Source organism: Homo sapiens, chromosome 6 (genome assembly GCF_000001405.40).
Source record: "Homo sapiens chromosome 6, GRCh38.p14 Primary Assembly".
Taxonomy (NCBI): Eukaryota; Metazoa; Chordata; class Mammalia; order Primates; family Hominidae; genus Homo; species Homo sapiens.
In genome coordinates this window covers 73,258,102-73,279,153 of record NC_000006.12, presented here as the reverse complement: position 1 = coordinate 73,279,153, position 21,052 = coordinate 73,258,102, and the positions used below count along the sequence as shown (strand labels likewise).

The window sequence follows — 21,052 nt, the reverse complement described above, 5'->3', positions numbered from 1 at the left end:
ATTATAGGCATGAGCCACCATGCCAGATTGACCTGGTTTTTATTCATTAATACCACATGCATTAATTAAGGCTAACTGGTTGATAAATATGCAATCACTGTAACAGTCAATCATCTAGTGTTTAACTGTGTACCTAGGGTCTCAGTAGTAGAAGAATACAGATTTATCATCCATGCCAAAAAGGAGTTTGTAGCCAAGTGTGAGAGAATGTATTCACATGAAAAGTGACAAAGAGGCAGGAAAAACGTTATTTGATGTTCTCACACTGTCCTCATCTGTAAAATTCGTGTACAATAGTGCCCCCTTATCCTTGGGGGATATGGTCTAAGACCTCCAGTGGATGCCAGAAACCATGAATATAACTGAACTCTATATGTACTGTGATTTTTCCTATGCATACATACCATGATAAAGTTTAATTTATGTTAGGCACAGTAAGAAATTAACAACAATAAAACAAAAAATTACAACAATATACTGTAATAAAATAAAAATCATAATGCAAAAATTCATAATGAAAAAGTTGAATGGATTTAGTCCCATAAAAACATCAACATTTGTGATACTGAAAAAGTACTATAAATAAAAGTAAAACCAAATGAAAACTGAAATTAAAAATAAAGAGCTAGGGCTAGACTACAGTGGCTCATGCCTGTAATCCCAGCATTCTGGGAGGCCAAGGCAGGAGAATTGTTTGAGGCCAGGAGTTCAAGACCAGCCTGGGCAATGTAGCGAGACCCTGTCTCTAAAAATAAAAAAATAAAAAGTTGTTGTAGACTAGTAAGAAAAAGAAACACATCAATAGAAATATAGGCAAAGGACATGAGAAGGCATTCTGGCCAGGCGCCATGGCTCACGCCTGTAATCCCAGCATTTTGGGAGGCCGAGGTGGGGGGATCACTTGAGGTCAGGAGTTTGAGACCAGCCTGGCCAATGTGGCGGTGAAACTAAAAGTACAAAAAAAAAAAAAAAAAATTGGCCAGGCGTGGTGGCTTGTGCTTGTAATCCTAGCTACTCAGGAGGCTAAGGCAGGAGAATCGCTTGAACCCGGGAGGCGGAGGTCGCAGTGAGCTGAGATCGCACCACCGCACTCCAGCTGGGTGACAGAGCAAGACTCCATTTCAAAAAAAAAAAAAAAAAAAAACACCCGAGAGAGAGAGAGAGAAAGCATCTACAAAAGAAACACAAATGTTTGACAAAGGTATAAAAAGATATTTAACTTCACAAACAGTAAAAACCATAAAACCTGACATATACCAAATGCTAATTTAGTGATTTTTTTTTTTTTTTGAGACACGATCTCCATCATACAGACTATAGCACAGTGGCTGGTGTGATCATGGCTCACTGCAGCCTGAATCCAGGCCCAAGTGATCCTCTTGCCTCTGTCCCACCTACTGCTACCTCTGTAGGTGGGACTATATAGGTACATGCCAACATGCCTGGCTAATTTTTAAGTTTTTTTTATAGAGACAAGGTCTCACTATACTGCCTAGGCTTGTTTTGAACTCCTGGACTCAAGCAATCTTCCTGCCTCGGTCTCCCAAAGTGCTGGGATTACAGATATAAGCAATTGCGCTTGGCCCAAGCGATATTTTAAAGTTTTATACTAACTGATAATGTGTTTTGTCATTTAAGCTACTGAAAATCATGATAAAGAAACATGACAGACTTGTTCTGTTTTTTTTGGAGACAGAGTCTTGCTCTGTCACCCAGGCTGGAGTGCAATGGCACAATCTTGGCTCACTGCAACCTCTGCCTCCTGGGTTCAGGCGATTCTCCTGCCTCAGCCTCCTGAGTAGCTGGGATTATAGGCGCATGCCAACATGCCTGGCTAATTTTTGTATTTTTAGTAGAGATGGGGTTTCACCATGTTGGGTAGGCTGGTCTGGAACTCCTGACCTCAGGTGATCCGCCTGCCTCCACTTCCCAGTCTTGAATTACAGGTGTGAGCCACCGTGCCCGACCAGACTTGTTCTTTTTAACTAACAGTTAAGGAGAATGGAATCAATTTGTCAATGTTTCAACACATGAAAACTTAATTTATAGAGCCTATTTTTTCAAAACTAGCATTAATGAAAGAATAAACAGGAATGTTCTTCCTTATTTACAAAAGTTCCCTGGGACATTAATTATCCTAGCTACACCCACTTAACACAAAAAAATTGAAAAGCTGAACCAACCTTTTGTAATTCTTCACCTTTTTTCTTCATGTGGGAACAAGCAAAGAAAGCTTTCTTGTCAATCGATACCAATTGCTAGGTATATTTTACATTTATTTTTTATTATAACTCATTTTGAATCTTTAAACAAGTCTCTAAAAGTGACTTGTCTAAAAGTGAATATAGAGTACAGAAAACACTTGCTGCCCTTTAGCTACAGGTGCAAAAAAGGAGGATTCAGACAGGGCCTCGGAGGCCAAGGCTACTGGACAGTTTTATCCCACTGCACTGAGGTGTGGATCACAGTTTACAAAGTTGTTTTTTTTGAGATAGGGTCTCCTTCTGACCCCAGGTTGGAGTGAGGTGGTGCAACCACTGCTCACTGCAGCCTTAACCTCCCAAGCTCAAGTGATCTTCCCACCTCAGCCTTCCAATTAGAAGGGGCAACAGGCACATGCTACAAAGCCTGGCTAGTTTTTTTTTTTTTAAATACTTTTCTTTTTTTGAGATGAAGTTTTGCTCTTTCGCCCAGGTTGGAGTGAAGTGGCATGATCTTGGTTCACTGCAACTTCCACACTCTGGGTTCAAGCGATTCTCCTGCCTCAGCCTCCGAAGTAGCTGGGATTACAAGCATGTGCCACCACATCTGGCTAATTTTTGCATTTTTAGTAGAGATGGGGTTTCACCATGTTGGACAGGCTGGTCCTGACCTCTTGACCTCAGGCAATCCACCTGCCTCAGCCTCCCAAAGTGCTAGGATTACAGGCCTGAGCCGCCACACCAGGCCTCTTTTTTTTTAGACAGAATCTCACTCAGTCTGCCGCCCAGGCTGGAGAGCAGTGGCACGATCTCTGCTCACTGCAACCTCCTCCTCCCGGTTCAAGCAATTCTCCTGCCTCAGCCTCCCAAGTAGTTGGGACTACAGATGCGTGCCACCACGCCCAGCTAATTTTTTGTATTTTTAGTAGAGACAGGGTTTCACCATATTGGCCAGGATGGTCTCGAACTCTTGACCTCATGATCCACCCGCCTTGGCCTCCCAAAGTGCTGGGAATACAGGCGTGAGCCACCGCGCCTGGCCCGTCAATCAGCCTTTTGTCATATTTCTGGCACCAGCACCTTCTGGAGATGAGGATCTCAACATTGCCCTCAGAATCTAGCTGTCCCATATGGAGCAGGACCTTGAACTCCTTCTGGAACACCAGGAGGAAGACTCTGCTTGAGCCTGTGTAGAAAGGAAGGTTGAAGTTTTACCAAATGGGGCAAGGCTGGGAGGGGATTGGGGGGAGAGGGGAAAGATGTCACTGGGATGCTGGCCTGCAGGACACTAGATTCTGCCTTAGGTTTCAGGCGGGTGGTTTAGGGTGAGCCAGGGGAGTCAAAAGTGTAGCGCAGTGGTAAAGACACCAGGACACTTACCAAATATCTTTTCCAGGTGACCAGCCACCAAGTAAAGCACTGATGGTTTCAGAATGTGCCTAAACCTGCACCAGTGAGGCAAGTATGCAAAAGGAGTCCCTTTCCGGGATGGACACACTTCCCATAGAGCCGTGTCACCCCGCACAGGGTTGCAACCAGGCTGGGTGCCACTGCCTGCAAACAGACTGGGATCTGTTTTTGTTTTTTTGTTGTTTTGTTTTTAAGACAGAGTTTCGCTCTTGTTGCCCAGGCTGGAGTGCAGTGGTGCGATCTTGGCTGACCACAACCTTCACCTCCTGGGTTCAAGTGATTCTCCTGCCTCAGCCTCCCGAGTAGCTGGGATTATAGGTATGCGCCACCATGCCCAGCTTTTTGTATTTTTAGTAGGGACGGGGTTTCTCCATGTTGGTCAGGCTGGTCTCAAATTCCCAACCTCAGGTGATCTGCCCGCCTGGGCCTCCCAAAGTGTTGGGATTACAGGCATGAGCCACTGCACCCGGCCTCAGACTGGGATCTGAAATTAGAGAGAATCCCTTGTGGACTGGGGACAGGACAAGACTGCTCTAGATTGGCCCATGGTGCCAGGTTAGTTCCTTCTGTAAGCTCCACCTCCTCCAGGGGCACCCGCTAATTGGCTCCCTCAGATCCTGGCTAGCCAGTACAAGGCCTCAGCAGTGCACAGATCCCATCTCCAGCCAGTCCAGGTGGCGCTCGCATGGTAGGGTGCATGAACCTGTGTTGGAGTACAGGCCTTCTTTGCTCCAGTTGTTTCCCAATAATAAATGTTATAAAATTATCAAAGGCACTGTATTAGTCTGTTATGCTGCTACACGAGACTGGGTACCTTACAAAGAAAAGAGGTTTAATTGACTCACAGTTCCACATTGCTGCGGAGACCTCAGGAAACTTACAATCATGGCGGAAGGCACCTTTTCACAAGGTGGTAGGAGAATGAATGAGCGCCAGTAGGGGAAATGCCAGACGCTTATAAAACCATCAGATGTCGTGAGAGTCACTCATCACGAGAACAGCATGGGGGAAACTGCCCCCATGATCCGATTACTTCCACCTGGTCTTGCCCTTTACATGTGGGGATTATTACAATTCAAGGTGAGATCTGGGTGGGGACACAGAGCCAAACCATATAAGGCACACTGCTCACCAACATTAGGTAGAGTTCATACATTTCTTTCTCTCAGCAATGGACAATGGATACATTAGAATGAGGATGATTGCTGCAATGCTAACCAGCTAATAAATAGAAGTGGACTGGGATGAGAGTCCAGGCAATTGCCTAATGAGCCCCGCTATACATATTTGCAAAAATGTAGAATGATGCCATTCTTTTTTGTTTTGGCAAATAGTTATTTTTCATTAAAAATGTAATGTTATGTTAATATTGGATAAAAATTGATTTAATAAAAATGTTATAACATGTAGTGGCTATTATTGTCATTTTGTTTTTTTAGAGAAAGGGTCTCACTCTGTCACCCAGGCTGGTATGCAGTGGCTCCATTGTATTTCACTGTAGCCTCAAACTCCCGAAATTCAAGCAATCTTCCCAAGTAGCTGGGACTACAGGTATGTGCCACCACACCTGGTTAACTTTTTATTTTTTATGGAGATGCAGTTTCATTAGGTTGCTCAGGCTGGTCTCCACTCTTGGCTTCAAGTGATCCTCCCACCTTTGCCTCCCAAAGTGTTAGGATTATAGGTGTGAACCATTGTGCCTGGCTTATTTTTTTATTTTTTCTAAGACAGAGTATTACCCTGTTGCCCAGTCTGGAGGGCAGTGGCGTGATCTCGGCTCACTGCAAGCTCCACCTCCCGGGTTCACGCCATTCTCCTGCCTCCTCAGCCTCCCGAGTTGCTGGGACTACAGGCGCCTGCCACCACGCCCGGCTAATTTTTTGTATTTTTAGTAGAGACGGGGTTTCACCGTGTTAGCCAGGATGGTCTCGATCTCCTGACCTCATGATCTGCTTACCTTGGCCTCCCAAAGTGCTGGGACTACAGGCGTGAGCCACTGCGCCCGGCCCGTGCCTGGCTTATTACTATTATTTTAAAATGAATAAATAAAATAACATTTTAAAATGTCAATTTTAGGCTGGGAGTGGTTGCTCATGCCTATAATTCCAGCACTTTGGGAGGCCGAGGCGGGGGGATCACTTCAGGTCAGGAGTTCGAGACCAGCCTGGCCAACATGGTGAAACCCTATCTCTACTGAAAATACAAAAATTAGCTGGGCGTTGTGGCACGTGCCTGTAATCCCAGCTACTTGGGAGGCTGAGACAGGAGAATTGCTTGAACCCAGGAGGCGAAGGTTGCAGTGAGCCGAGATCACGCCATTGCACTCCAGCCTGGGCAACAGAGAGAGACTCCGTCTCAAAAACAAACAAACAAACAAACAAAAAAGCTGGGCGCGGTGGCTCACGCCTGTAATCCCAGCACTTTGGGAGGCCGAGGTGGGCGGATCACCTGAGGTCAAGAGTTCGCCACCAGCCTGGCCAACATGGTGAAACCCCATCTCTACTAAAAATACAAAAATTAGCCAGGCGTGGTGGCACGTGCCTATAATGCCAGCTACTTGGGAGGCTGAGGCAGGAGAATCACTTGAACCTGGGAGGTGGAGGTTGCAGTGAGCCAAGATCACCCCATTGCACTCCAGCCTGGGTGACAGAGTGAGACTCCATCTCCAAAAAAAAAAAAAGAAAAAGAAAAGAAAAGAAAAGAAAAAATTATCCAGCCCAGGCCCTAAAATATAAAGATCTCTCCCTGTTTTTTTCTTTTCCCCCCCGGGATGGAGTCTTGCTCTGTCACCCAGGCTGGAGTGCAGTGGTGCCATCTCGGCTCACTGCAACCTCTGCCTTCTGGGTTCAAGCGATTCTCCTGCCTTAGCCTCCTGAGTAACTGGGATTACAGGCACCCGCCACCAAACCTGGCTAACTTTTTGTATTTTTAGTAGAGACAGGGTCTTACCATGTTGGCTAGGCTGGTCTGGAACTCCGATCTGAAGTGATATGCCCACCTCAGCCTCCCAAAGCGCTGGGATTACGGGTGTGAGCCACCACGTCTGGCCTTCTACCTGGCTTTTTCCTTCTGAGATTGTACTAAGGTTCTGTCAAGATGGTGTAGGAGGGCTGGGCGCGGTGGCTCACGCCTGTAATCCCAGCACTTTGGGAGGCCAGGGTGGGTGGGCGGATCACAAGGTCAGCAGTTCGAGACCAGCTTAGACAACATGGTGAAACCCCGACGTGGTGGCAGGTGCCTGTAGTCCCAGCTACTTGGGAGTGAGGCAGGAGAATAGCTTGAACCTGGGAGGCAGAGATTGCAGTGAGCCGAGATCGCTCCACTGCACTCCAGCGTGGGCGACAGAGCAAGACTCCGTCTCAAAAACAAACAAACAAAAATGATGGTGTAGGAATTCTAATAAACTTAGGTTTGCATGATCAAAAGTTTTTTCTGGTGGACCTTTAGAGACAAATTGTGCTTTTCTATGAGTAGTGTTGTCTGGTGTTGACAGTCAACACTACTCATAGAAAAGCACAATTTGTAACCTTTTTTTTTAAATGGGATTACACTATAAAGAGTTGATTTTTCAGTCCACATCCATATGTACCAAGGACATCCCCATCTGTCAGTACATACTGATCAACCTCAGTCTTCTTATTTTTTTTTGAGATGGAGTCTCACTCTGTTGCCCAGGCTGGAGTGCAGTGGCACGATCTCAGCTCACTGCAACATCTGCCTCCCAGGTTCAAGCGATCCTCCTGCCTCAGCACCCCCTAGTAGCTGGGATTACAGGCATGCGCGGCCATGCCTGGCTAATTCTTGTAGTTTTAGTAGAGAAGGGGTTTCACCATGTTGGCCAGGCTGGTCTTGAACTCCTGACCTCAGGTGATCCACCCACCTCGGCCTCCCATAGTGCTGAGATTACAGGTGTGAGCCACTGCACCCAGCCTAACCTCAGTCTTCTTAATGGCTATTCATTATTACAAGGTAGGAATGCATCATACATGTTTCTTATGCTTTTTTGACTTAGACTCATAATAAAAAATATATTTTACACCAGGCACGGTGGATTACGCCTGTAATCCCAGCACTTTGGGAGGCCAAGGCAGGTGGATCACGAGGTCAGGAGTTCAAGACCAGCCTGGCCAACATAGTGAAACCCTGTGTCTACTAAAAATACAAAATTAGCCAGGTGTGGTGACGGGTGCCTGTAATCCCAGCTACTGAGGAGGCTGAGGCAGAAAATCACTTGGACCCAGAGGGCGGAGGTGGTTGCAGTGAGCTGAGATTGTGCCACTGCACTCCAGCCTGGGCGTCAGAGTGAGATTCTGTCCCCCCCAACAACAACAACAAAAAAAAACCAAAACATTTTACATCATGTCTATATATTTCAAAAAGAAATTAATAGACTTTGCTACATTCTTTTATATTATAAAGGGTATTGATTGTGACCGACTAAGCTAATTTCACCATTCTCTAATGGGTGACAACTTGCAGTCTGAAAAACACTGCCATCATTTACTAATTAACGATGAAAATATTAACAGAATGTACAAAGAAAAAGAGCAACAGGCCGGGCGCGGTGGCTCACGCTTGTAATCCCAGCACTTTGAGAGGCCGATGTGGGTGGATCATGAGGTCAGGAGATCGAGACCAGCCTGGCCAAGATGGTAAAACCCCGTCTCTACTAAAAATACAAAAAATTAGCCAGGCGTGGTGGCACGCGCCTGTAGTCCCAGCTACTCGGGAGGCTGAGGCAGGAGAATCACTTGAACCTGGGAGGTGGAGGTTGCAGTGAGCTGAGATCACGCCACTGCACTCTAGCCTGGGCGACAAGAGCAAAACTCGATTTCAGAAAAAAAAAAAAGAAAAAATAGAAACAAAAACTTTTCCACTATAGGATCAATTCCTTCAGGACACTAAGTGAAGAGGGTGTTGATATATATTGTCAACTGGGTGTAGTGGGTTAAATTGAATACCTCAAAAAGATATGTCCAAGTTCTAATTCCTGATACTTGTGAATGTGGACTTACCTGGAAATAAGGTCTTTGCAGATGTAATTATTATTTTTCTGTTTTTCTTATTTTTTTGGAATGGAGTCCCGCTCTGTTGCCCAGGTTGGAGTGTAGTCGCAAAATCTCAGCTCACTGCAACCTCTGCCTCCTGGGTTAAACCATGTAAAAATTTTAAAATGATTCCTAAACTACAAACTCTACAAAAAACAGGCATGAAAAAGGCTTAGTCCTATCTGCGTACTAAATAGTACAATACTTCAATAAATAAAAGGCTGCAGTTTTATTAATGCATGAAAAGACCAATCAATGAAATAGAACAGAAAACCAAAAATACACCCACATATATGCATAGAAATTTAATATTTAATAAAGGGTACAATTCAGATTACTGTGGAAAAGGCGGATTACTCAATCAAGGATTGAATTACCATTGGAATAAACAGGTTATAACCTATTAAAAACCCATTTGAGGCCAGGTGCAATAGGTCACACCTGTAATCCCAGCACTTTGGGAGGCCAAGGAGGGAGGATCACTTGAGCCAAGGAGCTTGAGATCAGCCTGGGCAAGATGGTGAGACCTTGTCTCCACAAAAATAAAAACAATTAAAAAATTGGCCAGGCATAGTGGTCCATGCCTGTAGTCCCAGCTGCTCAGGAGACTGAGGTGGGAAGATAACTGGAGTCCAGGAATTTGAGGCTGCAGTGAGCTATGATCACACCACTGCACTCCAGCCTGGGTGGCAGAGTGAGGCTCTGTCTCCAACAACAACAACAACAACAAACAGTAAAATTAGACTTAAATAGGTAAAATAATAAAAATAATAAAAATTCATTTGAACTATACCTAACAACCTAAATCGAATCACACCTCAGGAACATCAAACATTTAAATGTAAAAAAGAAAACTCAAACCATACCACAGGAAACCATTAGCAAATATTTTATAGTCATGGAATAAGGAGGGCATTCGTAAGAATGAAACAAAATCCACAAACAATAAGCATAAAAAGATTCAGGCTGGGCACAGTGACTCATGCCTGTAATCCCAGCACTTTGGGAGGCCCAGGCGGGCAGATCACGTGAGGTTGGGAGTTTGAGACCCGCCTGACTGAGAGGTGACAGCGTGCTGGCAGTCCTCACAGCCCTCGCTCGCTGTCCGCGCCTCCTCTGCCTGGGCTCCCACTTTGGCGGCACTTGAGGAGCCCTTCGGCCCACCGCTGCACTGTGGGAGCCCCTTTCTGGGCTGGCCAAGGCCAGAGCCGGCTCCCTCAGCTTGCAGGGAGGTGTGGAGGGAGAGGCGCGAGCGGGAACCGGGGCTGTGCGCGGTGCTTGCAGGCCAGCTGGAGTTCCGGGTGGGCATGGGCTTGGTGGCCCCATACTCGGAGCAGCCGGCCGGCCCTGCTGGCCCCGGGCAATGAGGGGCTTAGCACCCGGGCCAGCGGCTGCGGAGGGTGTACTGGGTCCCCCAGCAGTGCCAGTCCACCGGCGCTGGGCTCGATTTCTCACCGAGCCTTAGCTGCCTTCCCACGGGGCAAGGGCTCGGGAACTGCAGCCCGCCATGCCTGAGCCGCCCACCCACTCCACGGGCTCCTGTGCTGCCTGAGCTCCCCGACGAGCACCACCCCCTGCTCCATGGCGCCCAGTCCCATCGACTACCCAAGGGCTGAGGAGTGCGACCGCAGGGCGCGGGACTGGCAGGCACCTCCACCTGCAGCCCTGGTGCAGGATCCACTAGGCGAAGCCAGCTGGGCTCCTGAGTCTAGTGGGGACGTGGAGAGTCTTTATATCTAGCTCAGGGATTGTAAATACACCAATCAGCACCCTGTGTCTAGCTCAGGGTTTGTGAGTGCACCAGTCAACACTCTGTATCTAGCTGCTCTGGTGGGGCCTTGGAGAACCTTTGTATCCACACTCTGTATCTGGTTAATCTAGTGGGGACCCGGAGAACCTTTATGTCTAGCTCAGGGATTGTAAACGCACCATTCAGCGCCCTGTCCAAAACAGACCACTTGGCCCTACCAATCAGCAGGACGTGGGTGGGGCCAGATAAGAGAATAAAAGCAGGCTTCCGGAGCCAGCAGCGGCAACCCGTTGGGGTCCCCTTCCACACCGTGGAAGCTTTGTTCTTTGCTCTTTGCAATAAATCTTGCTGCTGCTTACTCTTTGGGGCCACACTGCTTTTATGAGCTGTAACACTCACCGCGAAAGTCTGCAGCTTCACTCCTGAAGCCAGCGAGACCACGAGCCCACTGGGAGGAACGAAAAACTCCAGATGCGCCGCCTTAAGAGCTGTAACACACTCACCGTGAAGGTCTGCAGCTTCAGTCCTGAGCCAGGGAGACTACGAACCCACCAGAAGGAAGAAACTCCGAACACATCCAAACATAAGAAGGAACAAACTCCAGATGTGCCACCTTAAGAGCTGTAACACTCACCGTGAGGGTCCGCGCTTCATTCTCGAAGTCAGTGAGACCAAGAACCCATCAATTCCGGACACATGACCAACATGGAGAAAAACCCCGTCTCTACTAAAAATACAAAATTAGCTGGGCATGGTGGCGTGTGCCTGTAATCCCAGCTACTCGGGGGGTTGAGGCAGGAGAATTGCTTGAACCCAGGAGGCGGATGTTGCAGTGAGCTGAGATTGTGCCATCGCACTCCAGGCTGGGCAACAAGAACGAAACTCCATCTCAGAAAAAAAAAAAGGCTGAATAATATTCCGTTGTATGTCTAAATCATATTTTGTTTATCCATTCATCTGCTCATCAATTCTTGGGTTGGTTCCACATTTTGGCCACTGTGAATAATGCTATTATAAATACTGGCATCCAAGTATCTGCACTTATTTCAGTCTCTGCTTTCAATTCTTTTGAATATATACCTAAAAATGGAATTGCTGGGTCATAAGGTAATTCTCTAACTTTCTGAGGACAAATTAAACTGTTTTCCACAGTGGCTGCACCATTTTATATTCCTACCAGTAATAACAAGGGTTCAAATTTCTCAATATCTTTGCCAACAATTTTGTCTTTTCCATTTTTTCTTTTCTTTTTTCTTTTTTTTGAGATGGAGTCTTCCTCTGTCACCCAGTCTGGAGTGCAGTGGCGTGATCTCAGCTCACTCCAACCTCTATCTCCCAGGTTCAAGCAATTCTCGTGCCTCAGCCTCCCAAGTAGCTGGGACTACAGGCGCCTGCCACCACAACCAGCTAATTTTTGCATTTTTTTTAGTAGAGATGGGGTTTTGCCATGTTGGCCAGGCTGGTCTTGAACTCCTGACCTTAGGTGATCCACCTGCCTTGGCCTCCTAGAGTGCTGGGATTACAGGCGTAAGCCACTGTGCTTGGCCCCATTTTTTTGATGACAGCCATTCTAATGGGTATGAACTGGTATCTCATTGTGGTTTTGATCTGCATTTCCCTAATGACTAGTGATGTTGAACATCTTTTCATGTTCTTATTGGCCATTTGTATATCGTCTTTGGAGAAATGTCTATTTAAGTCCTTTGCTTATAATTTATTGTTTGAGATAGGGCCTTGCAATGTTGCCCACGCTGGTCTCGAACTTCTGGGCTCAGCAATCCTCCTGCCTCAGCCTCCTGAATAGTAGGGACTATAAGTGTGTGCCAATGCACTTGGCTACTTTATGTTTCAATTGGGTTGTTATCCTGTATATTAATCTCTTATCAGATACATGATTTGCAAATATTTTTTTCTCATTCTGTGGGTTGTCTTTTCATTCTTCTTCATGTTCCTTGATGCACAAAAGTTTATAATTTTGATGAAATCCAATTCATCTTTTTTGTTGTTGTTGCATATGCTTTTGGAGTCATATCTGAGAAATCATTGCCAAATCTAACATCATGAAGCTTTTGCCCTGTGTTTTCTTCTAACAGTTTTACATTTAGGTCTTTGATCCACTTTAAGTTCTGTATCTGGTATAAGGTAAGGAGGCCAACAACATTCTTTTGTATGTGGGTATCCAGCTTTCCAAGTACCATTTTTTGAAAAGACTGTCCCTCCTCCATCGAATGGTCTTGGCACCCTTGTTGAAACACAGGAGGACTTTAAAGTCAACTCAGATTTCTCAGCTTATTGTCTGGGCTCTTGATAACTGCTTCCTCAGTAAATGACAACATATATCCATGCAGTAGTGCCTATTATATGATAAGGCAAAGACTATTGAGCTAATGAAAGTAAAAAGCTTAGAAGAACACCTGTGGTATGTAGTAAAAAGCTCAACAAATGTTGGTTATTTCATTATTAAGAGTGACATTAGAGTCCAACATCTCCCTTGTTTTCATTAAAGGTTTTAACATATTGCAGAGTTTGTTATATAAGTCAGGCCAAAAGGTACTATACTCTGATCACAACTAATCTTTGGATTTTCCCCCAAGACAGATCCTCATCCACTCCTTTGCTTCTAAGTTTATTTTGCTTCTTATAACAAGTGTTGCACTCAACACCCAAAGATAAACCTTGATCTTAACATATGGCATGCTTTTTGTCAATGCTTTTTGTATGGATACTAAGACCCTTAGGTTGGGTGAGTGTTAGAATGCCATTGCACTGCACTTTAGCCTGGGTAACAAAGCCAGACCTCGTCTCCCCCCAAAAAAAAGAAAAAGAAAAGGGATCTCGCCATGTTGCCCAGGCTGGTCTCAAACTCCTGGTCTCAAGCAATCCTCCCACCTTTGCCTCCCAAAATGTTAGGATTACAGGTATGAGCCACTGCACCCAACCAAAACTTCCACTTCCACTTCACCAAGAAAGTTTCTTTCATTTCAGACTGATTTTCCAAGTGTACTCTAAGAGGGTAACCCTGCCTTTTAGTTGTGTTGATGCCACAACTGTCAGTCTACTTATAAAGTCCAGGATTTAAATGCTAAAGACAAGAGAACCTGAAAAAGGCTTACTCAAACTCCTCTCAGCAAGAGCCCTTAGTCTCCATTCCCACCTTCCTCCAATCCAGCTCACAGTGACCAGTCACGTTACTTTTTTTTTTTTTTTTTTTTTTTTGAGACGGAGTCTCGCTCAGTTGCCCAGGCCAGAGTGCAATGGCACAGTCTTGGCTCACTGCAACTTCCACCTCCCAGGTTCTAGCAATTCTCCTGCCTCAGCCTCCCGAGTAGCTGGGATTACAGGCACCCACCATCATGCCCGACTAATTTCTGTATTTTTGTAGAGATGGGGTTTCACCATGTTGGCCAGGCTGATCTTAAACTCCCGACCTCAGGCAGTGACCTCTTTTCTGTACACCGAATTCCTTCTTCAGTACAGACAGAGTTACTACTTCATTCTTCTCTCAACATTATAATTGTTTTGCGGTTTCTGGGGAGAATTTATCTTACTTATTTCCTTATCTCAAAGGCCTATGCAGAACAGCTAAATAGGTAACTGATGAGAAATATACTACTAGACAAACTCTAACACTCACTCAACCTAAAGGTCTTAGAAATTTGTTCTGTGACATTTTATTGAAACTACACCCTGCATCCAACCAAAAGTAAGGGCTGAATGACTCCTTTTATCCTAGAGTGCACTAGTCTCTGGGGTATACATGCACTCCTCAATCAGTTCTCAGATGATTCTGCCTCTAAGAGCAGCAGAAACTACAGGTAATCATCTCCGGGCTTACTTGAAGTTGTGTGCTCATTCCAAAATCTGCCTTGCTCACTCAAGAGTCCAGGTATCACTGGCCTTCGAGGTCATTAGGCAGCATCCAGTCTTTGAAGCAAACCATTCCAGGTTTTTGACTCTGCTTTCCTGTCAATGTCAGCTAGAGGAACTCTTCTCCCTGCCTTGGCCCTGGCTGGTCCTGGTTCCACTCTGGCTCATTTGCTTCCACACCTGGCCTATGATACCACATGACTAATTCCTTCCTGTGTGCCTCTGGCCCAGGCTTGCCAAAGGAATGCACTCAGAGCAGCTCTACCTATTCCTGTCCATCAGTTGCTGGTTGCGCACTGGCACTGCACATACCTGCTCCACAGAATCTTAAACCTTCAGGACTCTACCTGCTCACAGGTCCTGGGTTCCTACAGGCGTTCTTCATCAAGGGTGGGGCCACAGCTTTGCCCCAAGAGGGCAACCTGCCTCCTTGTTCCTGTACTGGCTTGAGACTCCTAGGCTGTGTCTGAACTAGCTGATAGGCCAGAAGCTTTAGGATGAAAAGAATACTGGAGGAGTCCTCAAAGTTAGAACTTTTATTGGTGTCTGTGTCCCCTCACTCATCTTAGCTATCTTGACCCTTCCCTACTTACCTTAATGATTTCGTGATTTCAATGAAAAAGACGCAACCTAGATAAGATTGCAAGGTCCCATACCTTCCTGGGGGCAGAGTTGACCTCAGACAGGGTCTTGCTTTGTTGCCCAGGCTGGAATGCAGTGGCGTGATCTCAGCTCACAGCAGCCTCAAACTCTCGGGCTCAAGCAATCCTCCCACCTCAGCTTCCCATATAGCTTGGGCTACAGGCGTGCACCACCATGCCCAGCTGATTTTTAAATTTTTTGTAGAGACAAGTTCTCCCTCTGTTGCCCCAGCTGGTTTCGAACTCCTGGGCTCAAGCGATCCTTGCTCTTTGGCCTCCCAAAGTGTTGGGATTACAGGTGTGAGCCACTGTGCCCAGCCCGACCTTTTGTTAATACTCCCATCTAATTGTCCAAACGGACTTGAACAAAAGAATCTTCTTCCCAATACTGCCAGGGAGGGCAAAATTCTTCAAATTCATGTTTGAGGCCATAAACGAACAGGAGTAAAATGGAATCCGCAGGAAGCAATGACAAGAAACCCAAAAACATTCATTTCCCTCCAGCCCAAGTGGCAGATGGGATCTCAAATACACCACGGTGTGATGCGTGACAGGAGGCATCCACTGGGGATGTGGAGCATTTTAAGTGCCCTGCAGAGGGTGGGCCTGGGTCACCCCCCCCCCCACCGCGACACCCCTCCCCAGGCAACATTCCTGGGGAGTCTGGACCTCCCTTGGTGGACCGACACCCGAGGGTCTCTAGGGTTTTTCACCCCATATCGGGGTGAACTGAAGGCATGGGAAGAGGCAGCCCCACAGCCTGGGTCCCCAAAACCCCCTCCGGGCTGAGAGCAAGAGATGCCGCCTGGAGGCCACTCACCAAGCAGCTCCGCTGGCTCAGCAATGGGGGTCGTCCGGGTCTGGGTCATTGCCACTGGCTCGTCCCTCCTCCCACCCTTGCTTCCTGGACTCAAGAGCTGCTGGGCTCTCTGCGCGCCGGCAGTGGGCTCCGCAGGCTGTCTCCTACACAGAGCAGGCGGGAGGAGGGCTCTGGGTTGCTTCCCGCGCCGCAGCCGCGCGCTTCCGGCGGGGTCGCCGCCACTTCCGCTCGAGCGCGCCTCGCGCGGCCGCGGCGCGAGCCGGGACCCCTGGAAGGGTCGGGTGCGCGGCCCAGGAGGTACCGCTGTCTCCTCACAATCGGCCAGGCCTGCAGCCGCTGCCGCCGCTGCCGCCGCCGCCGCCGCCGCCGCCGCCGCCCTACTCAGGGAGTGGCCCAGGCCTGCGGCGCGCCACCCTCACCTCCTTCATTCCTACCGTCAAAGCCCAGCCTTGGCTACCTGACCCCCCTGTGGTCTCGAACTCGGTTAGTCCGGTGAAGGGACAGAGAAGCCTGGGTTCCCGGCGGCATCACTGAGATGCTCAGTCCTGAATTCTGCCCTCCATTAGGATTATCTGCTTTGTGGGATAATTTCCTCATTGGTTGAGTCAGTGAGTTGCGTGTCTGCAAGAGAGCATCCTATCTGGTGGGTCTTCATCTAGATCTTGCACATTTCTTACTAAGTTCATCCTAAGAATATCTTACAGATAAGGAAAGTGAGCTGCAAAGAAGTGTAAAAACAGGGGAAACAGGAGATAGCAGTATAAAGAGAAAAATTAAAACAGATCGTGTGACTTTCCTCTATTGTTAATTGATTTGGGGACATTTTAAACTTATAGAAAGAAAAGAAACACGGGTTTTGTTGACACATCTCAAAACAAAATGGGTGTAACACCTTTAAAATGTAAACTATTGTGCTGGATATGTTTGTATTATTTTGAAGTCATTTAAAGTAATCGCATGAGGTGTTGCCTGCTGTTGGACCAGTAGTTTCTTTTTAGTATTCAAGCAAAGGCATAGTGAGGAAATAGTAAGAAAAAAAGAAGGAATGCTGTAACAGGAAACAAGGGAAAGGAGGAGCAGAGGAAAAGGGCAGGAAAGGTTTAACATTTACGTAGCACTTGCTATGCACCAGACACTTTTAAGCTCTTTAAATGTATTAACTCCTCTAGTTCTCACCACAGCCCTATGAAATGGGTATACTATTATCACCTCTGGTTTACAAAGAAGGCAAGTGAGGTCAAGAGAGGTTAAGCAACTGGCCCAAGGTTACACCGTAAGTGGCAAAACCTTTGCTTGAGCACATCAATTTGGCCCTAGAGTCTATGCTTTTTTTTTTTTGAGAAGGGCCTCTTTCCTGCTGCCTAGGCTGGAGGGCTGTGGCACCATCATGGCTCACTGCAGCTCCAACCTGCCGGGCTCAATGAATTCTCTCACCTCAGCCTCCTGAGTAGCTGAGACCGCAGGCACATACCACCTTGCCCAGCTAGGCTTTTTTTTTTTTTTTTGAGATGGAGTCTTGCTCTGTCACCCAGGCTGGAGTGCAGTGGTGCGATCTTGGCTCACTGCAACCTCTATCTCCCGGGTTCAAGTGATTCTCCTGCCTCAGCCTCCCGAGTAGCTGGGATTACAGGTGCCTGCCACCATGCCCAGCTAATTTTTGTATTTTTAGCAGAGACGGGGTTTCACCACCTTGGCCAGGCTGGTTTCAAACTCCTGACCTCATGATCCACCCGCCTTGGCCTCCCAAAGTGCTGGGATTACAGGCGTGAGCCACCACTCCCAGCCTATTTTTTTTTTTGGTATTTTTTTTATAGTGACAGGGTTTCACCATATTGCCCAGGCGGGTCTCAAATTCCTGGGCTCAAGGGGTCCGCCCGCCTCGACCTCCCAAAGTGTTGGGATTACAGGTGTGAGCCACTGTGCCTGGTCCTAGAGTCTATGCTTATTTTTTTAAAAAAAATTTTATTTATTTATTTATTTTTTGAGACAGAGTCTAGCTCTGTCACCAGGCAGTGGCGTGATCTTAGCTCACTGCAATCCCCGCCTTCTGGGTTCAAGCCATTCTCGTGCCTCAGCCTCTCAAGTAGCTGGGATTACAGGCATGCGCCACCATGCCCAGCTAATTTTTGTATTTTTAGTAAAGACGGGGTTTCACCATGTTGGCCAGGCTGGTCTCAAACTCCTGACCTCAGGTAATCTGCTCACCTTGGCCTCCCAAAATGCTGGGATTACAGGTGTGAGCCACCATGCCTGGCCTATGCTTCTAATCACCACACTATATTTCCTCTAAAGAGAGGGCAAGACTTGAATCAACTGGATTTGATGCTACTGAGTAGGAGTAGACAAGAGAGGTTTGCAAGGTAATTACTCTTCCATGATGTGAGATTATGGGCTAAAATGTTTCATAGAACAAAAATGCCATGAATAAAGTTTAAAAAGAGGAAACATACAGTGCACAAAGAATTAACATCTGGAATAGATAGTGAAAACAAATATATATAAGAAAAAGACAACCCTACAGAGAAATGGGCAAATGTATAAATAGACAATAGATGAAGAAGTAAGAATGAAATAAAACTGACCACATAAAAAAGATGCTTAACTGCACTAGTGATGCTGGCATGCAAAGCAAAAAAATAGAGAGATCCATTTTCTCCCACACTGGCTAAAACTGAAATTTGAAAATATCAATTTTGTGGAAAAGTGAATATTCTTAGTAGAAGTATAAATCAGGATAGCCACTGCTAGGGGTGGGGGTAGATTTGGCAGTATTAATTGAAGTTAAAATATTAAAATTAATCTTTGAAGTAATATTGATTATACTGAAGAACATTGCTTCAGACATTCTAATTTAACTTTTTTATTCTACAGATAAACAGGTGTTCAAAAAGAGGTATGCAAAATATTTAACTGGAAACTTTTTTTGCATAATAGTTTAAAATTAGAAAAATATAATTTCAGCAGGTAAATAAACTATGGTAATAGTTTACTCATTCTCTAAACAAATATTTGTTGATTGCTTACTAGGTATAAGGCATTATTCTGGACATTGAGGATAAATTGACAGTTATCTTTGTGAACTAGAGAAAGATGATAGGGTGGGTTAGGGGCTAATTAACATTCCCCAGCCCAGAGCCTTCCCCTTAATTTTTTTTACATCTTGATAGAATGATTTCAATTTGTTCTGTAAATCACACTGGACTCCCCTGTAATGATTACAGAAAGAAAAATGTTTTTTATATGGATATATGGGTATACCCCAATTTGAAGGCATAAAGGCACAATAGCGGACTCTAAAGTAGGAATGAGGAAAGCTGGAAAGGAGGGGGCTATGCTGATATAGACCATCAAGAAAAGCTTGAAGAGATGTCCCAAATACCCTGATGACTTACTTTTCACTGAAATGCAAAGAAATTGGCATCTTAGATATGCTTCCAAAGATTGTGCCCTACCCCCTGGACAGCTTTTAATGAAGGCAGGACTACAGCAAGAGAAACAGCCAGATAATTGGTTAAAAAGAAAGACTTGCAGGGGCTTGTTTCTTATTATGTTTATATGGTAAATGCCTAGTTAGGACAAAGACAAAGAGCTTGAACATGGTTTGCTCACACTCTCCCTGGTGAATAGATTCAATTACAAAAGAGATTGATGTCTCAACCATAGCAAAAACCTTGTCAAGCTCTCAACTGAGACCACAACATGCTTGTTTAAAAGTGTGGAGAAGGGGCCAGGAGAGGAAACAACATGACAAGGAGTTTATAAATCTAAAGGATGACTTTCTTGCTGCATGTAACTAGTATGTGACTGCTTCTGCATTCCCTTCGATCTATCCTTGGCTTTCTCAATGTGAATATTTTTGTTCTAAAAATTGGGGACCAAATCTGGTCCTCTCAAGGAGAAGTAAGAAGAACCCCAATGTCTTTCTTCTTCCAGCTAATTTAAAATAATTGGATTTAGCCAGGTGTGGTAGTGCATGGCTGTAGTCCTAGTTATTCAGGAAGCTAGGGCAGGAGGATGGCTTGAGCCCAGGAACTCCAGGCTAGTGCACTATAACTGCACCTATGAATAGCCACTGCACTCCAGCCTGGGCGACAGAGCGAGACTCCGTCTCAAAAAAAAAAAAAAAAAAAAAAAAAGCATATTGGATTTGTCAGCAGAAAGCCTTCCAAAATGAGGAAAGATGGGACCTGGACTTGAGTGCCAACTCTAGAATCACTTTCATAGCCACACGGGAAAGTAAAACACTATCTGAATCTCAAAATATTCTGTCTTAAGCCACCAGGTTCCCTTAAGAGCATGTTGGTCCCAGTATTGCCCTGGTGGTGAGTAGGAAGAAGCAGGCCCCAGGGAATTTGTGTAAGGCTCCTGAGCAGCAGATTCTATTAAAAATTCTTCCTGCAAGCCCTGCCCTTGCAATTACTGCCATTCCTCTCACCAGTGGGCTCCCGTTGGGTCAGGCCTCTAGCCCTAGCCACTCAAAGCTTGAGACCATAGTAGGCAGCCCAATAGGCCCTTCCAGACAGTCTCCATCTGCTGGATGAGCAGCTCACCTGTGTCTTAGGGAAAGGCAGAAGGCTCACAGCCTTGCACTCAGGCACATTAACTTATGTGATCCAGCAACTGCTGGGAATTAGGAATGATTAATACCATTTTACAGGTAGGGAAACTGATGCTGAGAGATAGATACCTTTTCTGAGGTCACACAGAAGTGCTTTTTGAATCTAGGTTTCAGAGTTGATCACTCCCTCCACCTTCCGCCTTTGGCCCTTGGATTCTCAGTAAGAAATCTTTTAATCTTGTGGAATGGTCAAATGCATCCTTCCTACTAACAGCATGAGCTGTGATGCAGAGACTCAACGTTCACTTTAACTGGGCTAACACTTATTTGACTCTTTCTTGTAGGTCAAGCAGTAGTAGGAGACCTTTTGCTGATATATTTGCTTATTCTAGATATTTCTTTTTTTTTTCTTTTTTGAGACAGGGTCTCTCTCTGTCACCTAGGCCGGAGTGCAGTGGCATAATCATGGCTCACTGCAGCCTCAACTTCCCAGGCTCAAGTGATCCTTCCACCTTAGTCTCCCAAGTAGTTGATACTATAGGTGCGTGCCACCACACCTGGCTTGCTTAATTACTACTTACTTACTTACTTATTTATTTATTTAGAGACGGAGTCTCGCTCTCTTGCCCAGGCTGGAGTGCAGTGGCACGATCTCAGCTCACTGCAACCTCTACCTCCCGGATTCAAGTGATTCTCCTGCCTCAGCCTCCAGAGTAGCTGGGATTACAGGTGTGCACCACCACGCCCAGCTAATTTT

General features: G+C 46.0%; 1 protein-coding gene, 2 long non-coding RNA genes and 1 pseudogene across 38 annotated transcripts in view, besides 2 other annotated features; 3 read left to right on the top strand and 1 right to left on the bottom strand.

Moving 5' to 3' along the window:
• C6orf147 (chromosome 6 open reading frame 147) overlaps nt 1-5,020 on the top strand; it is a 36,245-nt gene extending 31,225 nt beyond the window's left edge. Inside the window, exons 4-5 of the long non-coding RNA NR_027005.4 lie at nt 3,598-3,740; nt 3,995-5,020. This is a non-coding gene — a long non-coding RNA (chromosome 6 open reading frame 147). The remainder of the gene's footprint in view (nt 1-3,597; nt 3,741-3,994) is intronic.
• Nucleotides 1-15,918, bottom strand: part of KHDC1-AS1 (KHDC1 antisense RNA 1) — a 38,166-nt pseudogene extending 22,248 nt beyond the window's left edge. For 13 of the 31 annotated variants that reach the window (NR_173130.1, NR_173134.1, NR_173133.1 and 10 more), the window contains exons 1-2: nt 15,738-15,918; nt 8,627-8,756 (exon numbers count right to left, since the gene is read on the bottom strand). The product of NR_173130.1 is annotated as a KHDC1 antisense RNA 1, transcript variant 23 (long non-coding RNA). Of the gene's footprint in view, nt 1-1,870; nt 1,986-2,183; nt 3,388-8,626; nt 8,806-11,043; nt 11,273-15,733 lie in introns of all 31 variants that reach the window. The other 18 variants (NR_173138.1, NR_173131.1, NR_173113.1 and 15 more) reach the window with 13 other exon arrangements.
• Nucleotides 1-21,052, top strand: part of LOC122539213 (KHDC1-KHDC1L) — an 86,616-nt gene that overhangs the window by 31,006 nt on the left and 34,558 nt on the right. The window lies entirely within an intron of this gene.
• The window catches only part of KHDC1 (KH domain containing 1), a 69,065-nt gene that overhangs the window by 31,225 nt on the left and 16,788 nt on the right, over nt 1-21,052 (top strand). The window contains exon 1 of one of the 4 annotated variants that reach the window (NM_001395216.1): nt 15,958-16,220. The exons of 2 other annotated variants lie outside the window; for them this stretch is intronic. The gene's annotated coding sequence lies outside the window, so the exon portion shown is untranslated. Of the gene's footprint in view, nt 1-15,957; nt 16,381-21,052 lie in introns of those variants that run through there. One more of the 4 variants, NM_030568.5, reaches the window with a different exon arrangement.
• Nucleotides 10,004-10,580: an enhancer, noted in NCBI's record as "H3K27ac-H3K4me1 hESC enhancer chr6:73978297-73978873 (GRCh37/hg19 assembly coordinates)". NCBI's record gives its function as "activates a minimal SCP1, AML or CMV promoter by ChIP-STARR-seq in naive H9 embryonic stem cells {active_cell/tissue: H9 hESC(naive)}" and the evidence as "EXISTENCE:reporter gene assay evidence [ECO:0000049][PMID:30033119]".
• Nucleotides 15,845-16,114: a silencer, noted in NCBI's record as "silent region_17332". NCBI's record gives its function as "represses an Ori minimal core promoter by ATAC-STARR-seq in GM12878 lymphoblastoid cells {active_cell/tissue: GM12878}" and the evidence as "EXISTENCE:reporter gene assay evidence [ECO:0000049][PMID:35858748]".